Source organism: Homo sapiens, chromosome 2 (assembly GCF_000001405.40).
Source record: "Homo sapiens chromosome 2, GRCh38.p14 Primary Assembly".
NCBI classification, from domain to species: domain Eukaryota; kingdom Metazoa; phylum Chordata; class Mammalia; order Primates; family Hominidae; genus Homo; species Homo sapiens.
Window position 1 is genome coordinate 227,352,135 of NC_000002.12, and position 8,394 is coordinate 227,360,528.

The following is an 8,394-nucleotide window of genomic DNA, read 5'->3' on the forward strand; positions in this document are numbered from 1 at the left end:
TATGCTTTTAAAGGTGCTAGTGATTTTTTTTTTCCAACTGGAAGAAAGGAATTACACTTTTTAAGCAGAGTTGTCCTCTGTCTTAAATTTCATAAAGTAAAGCACCAAGAAAATTATTTTATATGTTGGTGCTGTTTTGTCGTGTAAATATAGATTCCCTTTGTTTCTTTGATCAATAGTAATGTTGAGTTTATGAAAATGATAAAATGGAGGACACATGAGACAAGGATTTTTTAAAGTAGTTGAGAGATATTATATTGTATTGAAATATACAATATAATCCTATTTGACATTTATTTGTCTTGTTTTTGCTTTTATTTTATTACTTCTCTGTTTCCTGATTCTGTCTTGTGCCTTCTCCCGCAAAAACCTGCCTTAGACCTGTGTTGCGTGGTGGGTCTGCTGCCGCCACTTCTAATCCTCATCATGACAACGTCAGGTAAATTTTGAGACTTCGTAATTACCAGGGTAAATGCTTGGCGGAATTTGTGTGTTGCAGGGCATGTTGCATGTCGTAGCCATGCCTGTGTTTGTAGCTGAACTTGTTTCTACAGCTTTCCTCGATGAGTACATCTTGCTTCTCTCTAAGAACAGTGAATAATCAGTCATGACATTTGGCCAATTAGTATGAGGGAAAATGTTTAATAATTATGGTATGATGTGAACAGCTATTTTATTTAAGTGTAGTGTTAATAGTTTATAGGTGGTTTATAATAATTTACATGCTAAAACAGAAAAAAGTCTTAAATCTTATTTTATGTACATCATTTTAATGGTTGCCTGAATTGTGCCCAGCATTTCCTTTTAAGTTGTTAATTATCTGGAATGTTACTTTTAGTGTGTGAACAAACCTGTCTTTGTTTGTAAGGCTTCATCTTAAATTGGGAGAAATCAGCATTAACAACTCCACAGTTTGGGAAGGTACATATTTAGAAAGGAAATTTAGTTTTAAGCATTTTTATCATCTGTTGATTTAAGGCCTTCTCTCTTATTTTTGCCCTTTTTACACTTTCAGACACGCGTAGGTTGAGCGTTCCTTTCTTCCTGACACGCACAGAGGCTGGCAGAATGGCACATACAAATACATGCAGTTCTTAAGTGCCAAAATCCCCATTTAGTTTTCCTATAGTCTGGAAAAAATCAAAAACTTGTTGGTATTCACAGATGCTATTACTGTATAATTTTTTCAGTCAGTTTTATTTAAGCAGAAATATATTGTCGGTAGCAGTAGATTTAAAACTGGCAGCATCGTTTCTGTGCTTAGAAGTTGGTGCATTCATTGAAGCAAGAGAAAAGGGAAGCATTAGCTGCTCATTAAAATTGAATTCATGGTGGAGGAATTGAAAAGCGTGCCTGTGGTAATCCCTTACCACTCTGCTGACTTGTTTCTTTTTACAATCTTAGTTCAGTTCATTGTCGTTTTCCCTTATATTTTTCTCTAAGTTTGTGATCTTTTATCTTTCTGTCAGAGTATTTTCAGCCAGTGGTCTAACTTAGCATTAGAGTTTTTTAGTTCTAATAAATACGGTTTTTGTTTAAAACACAATGTAAAGTAACATATTTTTGTTTTAAATTGAAGTATATAGGTAAAATCTTTTGTCATATCCTTATATTTCTTTGCAAATCGAGATTTCAGATATCTAAACCTTAGTTAATTCAGGATATAAATTGTGAGTAATCGCTTTCATTTGTACTTCATTCTGTATGTTCAGTTCAGATCCCTTTAACAATTGCTTCTGTTTGATTTTTTTCCTAATTATTCCTCTGTTATGTGGCCTCAGAGAAAGAGAAGAGTTTTATTTTGAGGATGAAGTGAAGGAAAAGGGAATCTTCTACCTTTATTTTTTCCACTAATCATTTGTAAACCCATAGTTCCAGCATCTACTAACTTAGAAGTTTACTTCTCTAACTGGTATAATTACCCTAACTGCTCCAGGTTGTTTACTGTGTTCTCATGAAATAAGGAGACAGTTAATGAGAAAGCAGGATAATTTAGCCATAGAAGGAATATTTGGAGATGGTTGTAGATTATCTAGAGTCAGTACACACCATCTATTGTTTAAGGTTTTTTGCATACTTTATTAAAGTATTTTTATTACTTTTAACAATATTTAAAACAAAAGGATTTTCTGAGTAGACTTGTCTTTAACATGTCTGGATGAAAAGTATAATTCTGCTTCATATCCCTTTTTGTGGGTATGTACTTTTTGTAGTGGGGACTTGCTGGGATAGGTATTAGAATAGATGATCCATTTGCCAATTCTCTGGACTACACAGGAATAACTTTTAATTTAGTTTATTTATATTCTGCTCATTTAGAAAATTTACTATGCCATTTTACTAAAATAACCATTTAGGGTATAAAATACATGTGAGGTGAATTATGTGGTTATATAAGTTGTATCTCAATGAAGCTATTAATTAAACTAAATTTTAAAATGTGGAAATCCAGGCAAAGAAGAGGAATGGCGTTTGTCTTTGTTTTTCAGAGGTTTAGTGTCATTCACCTAGAAATTAGTGCCGCTTTAGAAGTAACTACATTGGAACAAAAAGTACTTTTTTAATATGCTTTCTCTGGATTTTGTCTTAATGGTTTTTCAGTATTATTTTATACACAGCATTTTATTCATTATTGGGCCAATTCTGGAGCTAAATGTAGTGGTAAGATGTATTCAGGAGATTTTATAATTGTTTCTGCGGGAGAACACAGTAGAGCATAAGTAATTGGAAATAAGTAAAGAATAGGCCAGGCGTGGTTGCTCAGGCCTGTAATCCCAGCAATTTAGGAGGCTGAGGTGGGTGGATCACCTGAGGTCAGGACTTTGAGACCAGCCTGGCCAAAATGGTGAAACCCCATCTCTACTAAAAGTACAAAAATTAGCCGGGCATGGTGGCAGGTGCCTGTAATTCCAGCTACTTGGGAGGCTGAGGTAGGAGAATCACTTGAACCCCAGAGGTGGAGGTTGCAATGAGCCGAGATTGTGCCATTGCACTCCAGCCTGGGCAACAAAAGTGAAACTCTGTCTCAAAAAAATAAAAAGACAAGAAGTAAAGAATAAAAATGGCAAGACAAGAGGCAGTGAGAAGAGGTGATGAGTCTTTCTTTTTTTAGAGTTAGTCTACTTTGTGTTCCCTGCTAGTGAGTCTGTGCCTATGGGCTTACATATGGACATAAGTTTGTGTAAGAATTATATTTTGTTCTATCCTAAGTGGCAGCTCTCAAACCTTTTCAGCCAGGGACCCTTTTTAGCATCGCCAATCCTTCTGGCTTGAGAATTTTCTATGTGTTTCTTTAGTCAGGATTTTTTTCCCATTCTCCAGTTTTTAGTGCCCTTTTTCAATATTGTAGACAGTTGTCATTTTAAGCTTTTTTCTTTCCTTTATTAGTACAAATTCAGGTAGTAAAATATTTTAGTAATTCATATTATTAAGTACCAATTTTCTGAATACTACTTTGAGCATTACACAAAGCATGATGTGGCGTGCCATTTACTCTGAGTTCTACTTTACTATTCATTTGTATTTCTATCTCTTATCTGCAGGTATGGCATTTCAAATATAGATACAACCATTGAAGGAACGTCAGATGACCTGACTGTTGTAGATGCAGCTTCACTAAGACGACAGGTATTTAGTGTACCAAATAAGATATATTTCTCAGTTATATTCATACAATATTTTAAAGTGATAGTTCTCAACATTTTATTATTTTCTCTCCTGTGGGACTATCAAACTAGTAAGCCATCATTGATTTTCTCATTTTGATTAAAGATATATTAAACTACCATTTACATGTTTTGATCACCGTAAAACAGTATTACCAAGATAGATTAATGTAATTCTGGCCAGTAACAAAGAATCTTTAGCAAACCAGTACAGCCATCAGTTGCTTGTTTGGCTTTTGAAATGTGGAACAATTACTTTGGAACCTTTGTTACTGTGTTTAATAACTCCATTTTGGAAACCGCTCCTTGCAGCTTGCACAGCATCCCTGCATACGTATTTCCTGTATTCTGTAATAAATCCTTTCTTAGAACTGCAGTTGCACATGCATATTTTTTAATATGTACTCCCACAGCCTCGAGTATCACACAGACATACACACATGTGAAGAAGGCATAGTTGGTTTTCTCATTGCGTCTATACCAAATAGATATAGAGGGAAATTGGATTAAATAAGATATTTTTAGGTGAAGATCAGTAGGAGAACACAAGCTTTAGCAGGTGGTTGTTCAGCCCTGGGATTTTCACAGTAAGGGCTAACAGCAAGGATGGTACTGTCAGCCAGCAGCATTTCCAGCAGCTGGGGAATTAGCCTTCAGGCCTGAAGGGTTTGGGTGCCATATCCCAAGGCCCCCTACAGTAGATTATTTTATTGGATTGTCTCAGTAACTCAGAGGTGGACAGAGAAGGCGGTTATGCCAGGTTCAAGATGAACAACTGAGGTTGAGTGACAAGTTCATAGGAGAGGCATAGAAAGGGGAAGGAGTCCCGTATTCTTTCTGCTGTGGTAAGCCTGCCAAAATGCATACTGAGTCTTTTCTGCCAGAATAACAGTAGGTAACCGCTTCCTCACCTCACTATGTAATCAAGTTAGGAAGGAAATACACCCTTCCTAACTCAGAAATCTGAAGAAGGGAAAGGGAAAGGATGTTTAAGTGAATTTAAGCTGTCATGAATGACATGTTTTTCTATGTGTAGTTGTGTTTATTTTGCTCCAAATGAAACTTTCCATGTTTGTAATAATACTTTTGTTGACAAATTATTATACTACTTACTTTATAAGAATCTGATTGCCCTATTCATTAAAGCCTCTATATTATATTTTTTGTGTGTTTGTTTTTCACTTAGATAATCAAACTAAATAGACGTCTACAACTTCTGGAAGAGGAGAACAAAGAACGTGCTAAAAGAGAAATGGTCATGTATTCAATTACTGTAGCTTTCTGGCTGCTTAATAGCTGGCTCTGGTTTCGCCGCTAGAGGTAACATCAGCCCTCAAAAATACTGTCTCAACAGCTGGAAATATAAAAGATTTGCAAACTTCTTTGTTTCTGTCTCTGCATTGTATGCCATTTTATAGTCCACACCCTGAAAATGTATTTCTTCCAGAAAGTCTGGAGGAAGGACCTATATTTGTAGAAGTAAAGGTATATTCTGTCACTCAGCTGTATTCACGTCTGAGCAGTTCTGCAGTAACACCTGCTTAAAATTCTCCCTTTGCATGTTTTGTAAATAGGCTCCAGTTTTGTTTTTTAAAAGGAATTTATTTTTTGCCTCATCAGTCCACCCAACTGATTCTGAATGGGAGAGAGTCTGTAGAGAATTGATTCAGAAAAGTGTCTGTGAAAGAAAAACAATTATTTTGTCCTGTTTCTCAAACAGTGTTAAGCAGTTTTGTTAATAGACATTTTTGCATCGACACTTCAACATTAACACTTTCAAAGTCATGGTCTGGTGCCAGATTTAAGAAACTCGAACCACCTAATATTTCATAACCTTCTTCATTAGGTACTTGTACAGATTAATTTCTAACATTGCAGCAGTTTCATATGTGTGCAATATGTGCATTCTTTCATTTTAGTTTTGCACTTGGTTTTCTATAAAGTACGTTTTTACTCAGTTCATGCGTGAACAATTTAAAAAACGACAGAATAAGGTACAAATGTAGTGTATTTAATAAACTGTCAACCAAAGAAGTATTTGTCTGTTGAAGGATTTTATTTCATCATTTGTGCAATCAGCTACATTTTGTATCATATTACCTTATGAGTCTTCCCGTCTCAGAGCAAGTAATACAATTAATGACCTGGTAGGTAGCAAGAACCTGCTGTGCTTCCTTTCAGACCTTCATCCTGGTGGTGGTGGCTGTTGGTTGCATTGTAGGTGGTTTTCTAATTTATAATATCTATAAAGTGGTTCAGGTTTAAATACCTTGAGTTGTGTATACTTTTTTTTTTTTGAGATGGAGTCTCGCTCTGTTGCTGATGCTGGAGTCCCGTGGCATGATCTCAGCTCACTGCAACCTCCACCTCCCAGGTTCAAGTGATCCTTCTGCCTCAGCCTCCAGAGTAGCTGGGATTACAGGCGCTGGCCACCACACCCAACTAATTTTTGTATTTTTAGTAGATACAGGGTTTCGCCATGTTGGCCAGGCTGGTCTCGAACTCCTGACCTCAGGTGGTCTGCCTGCCTCAGCCTCCCAAAGTGCTGGGATTACAGCCACTGCGCCCAGCCAGAGTTGTATATACTTTTTTCATGGCAGTATTTATTTGCTAATTATATATAGGTGAATTTAAATCTCAAGGCTGGGTGTGGTGGCTCACGCCCGTAATCCTAATACTTTGGGAGGCCTAGGCGGGTGGATCACTTGAAGTCAGGAGTTCGAGACCAGCCTGGCCAATACAGTGAAACCCCATCTCTACCAAAAATACAAAAATTAGCCAGGTGTGGTGGCAGGCATGGTGGCAATAGCTGTAATCCCAGCTACTCAGGAGGCTGAGGCAGAAGAATCACTTGAACCCAGAAGGCAGAGGTTGCAGTAAGCTGAGATCATGCCACTGTACTCCAGCCTGAGTGACAGAGCCAAACTCCGTCTCAAAAAAAAACTAAAAATTTAAAAGTAAATCTCAAAAGAATTAAACCAAGTGAAGCCAAGTGCTAGACAGTTTTAGCTCTCAAAACTTATATTTCCCCATTTTCGGTTCAGAAATGGGTAGAATTCAGTTAGGTGCAACATTCTCCACACATCTTTGGTATCTTTCTTCCAAGGCAGGGAGTTTGGGGAAAGGCAGTTGAGGAAATTCCTTGGATAGAGTTAGATTTAGCATTTCCGTTCTTGCTTCTTATCCCTCTAAAATAATATCAAGACAAAGATTCTTCTCTGTACTTAGAAGTTTTCTGACTTTTGGTAATGATGCAACTATATTAATTCTAGATTTATGTATACCAGAAGGTAATTTCTGTGGTTATCCTCCAAATTGAAATCACAAAAATGAAGAAAAATGATGGATAAGGTTAGTATCTTTTGATAAACAGACATGAAAAGGATTCCACAAAGGTCAAAAAATGAAATAAAAGCAGGAATACTGAGAGAGAAGTGCGGAAGCCCTTTTTTTCCCTCATGATTCTTACCAAAGAATGGACACTTGGAGCTTTCTCCCTTAATGATTGTGCAAGGGGTAGAAGATCGACTTCCCTACCTCAGGCAGGCACCAGCTGTAACAGGAGACTCGTGAATGAAGCTAAGACCCCAACAGACGGTGAATGAAAACTCTGTTTACAGTGCAAAAGGGGACAACCAAGAAACCTGCCTTACCTGACCTTGTCACATATCTAGAAGTAGAAAAGCTTGAATCTCTCTAACTCCAAAGTTAGGATCTCTATTAAACACCTGTGTACTTCCCCTAAAAATTGTTAATTACTGTTGAAATATATTTTGGAGTTGAGAAGAACAAATTAGTTCCTGGTTAGTATAACCAGATATTTGAGCTGAGCCTTTCAACAAGCAGAGAAAGAACAAGAAAATATTCCAGGTGCAGATGATAGAGGGAGAAATGGATACAGTCAGGAGCCAAAGTCGTATCATACAACTAAGTATAGCAAATATATTGTTGCACTACTGAAAGTGCACCCTTCTCCCCACTTCTAGTAATTATGGTTGAAGTATGTGCAGGTTGTTTACACTTTGAAGGATAACATCATGGAAGTAGTATATTTTCAAGAGAGCTTTCCTTTTTCCTTCCTTCCTGCATGAATGTGTGTTTCCAGCTCCTTAACTATAGTGATTGCCCAGCCCTTATCCAAAATTCTTTGGACCAGAAGTATTTTGAATTTCAGAGTTTTTCAGATTTTCAAGTATTTACATATACATAATGAGATATCTTGAGGATGGGACCCAAGTCTAAACATGAAATTCATTTATATTTCATACATACCCTCTACACATAACCTAAAGATAATTTTATACAATATTTCAAATTTTGTGTATGAAACAAAGTTTGTGTATGCTGAACCATCAGAAAGCAAAAAGCAAAGATGTCATAGTGATATCTCAGCCACGCATGTGGACAGTCGGGTTTTTTGCCATCACTATCATTCCTGACTCTGAGTGTATATGCTGCCAATAAACAGTCATTTTTTCTTAACACTTTTTCACACATAAATACTTAACATTAAAAAATGACACACTATTAATACAGTGAAAAAACTGCGTTCAAGTAACTAAGCAGCACAGGGGCATCACCAGATACTGCACCAGCTGTTAGACAACAGCCACAACCAAGAACAGCCACGGCAAGTTTCCTGTCCCCACTGGCGGTACTGTTGGAGTAAAGATTACTGGACACTATTTTTTTCAGTGAGAAGAAACATGAGAAGCAGTTGAGAGGCTAG

At 36.9% G+C, this 8,394-nt stretch overlaps 1 protein-coding gene across 21 annotated transcripts in view; it reads left to right on the top strand.

Moving 5' to 3' along the window:
- Positions 1-5,702, top strand: part of MFF (mitochondrial fission factor) — a 32,586-nt gene extending 26,884 nt beyond the window's left edge. For 7 of the 21 annotated variants that reach the window (XM_017004512.2, XM_006712637.3, XM_024453009.2 and 4 more), the window contains 3 exons: positions 380-439; positions 3,543-3,627; positions 4,852-5,702. In XM_017004512.2, the coding sequence (XP_016860001.1) occupies positions 380-439; positions 3,543-3,627; positions 4,852-4,983 (277 nt within the window). In that variant the 3' untranslated portion in view covers positions 4,984-5,702. The remainder of the gene's footprint in view (positions 1-379; positions 440-3,542; positions 3,628-4,851) is intronic. The other 14 variants (XM_047445127.1, XM_047445131.1, XM_047445128.1 and 11 more) reach the window with 3 other exon arrangements.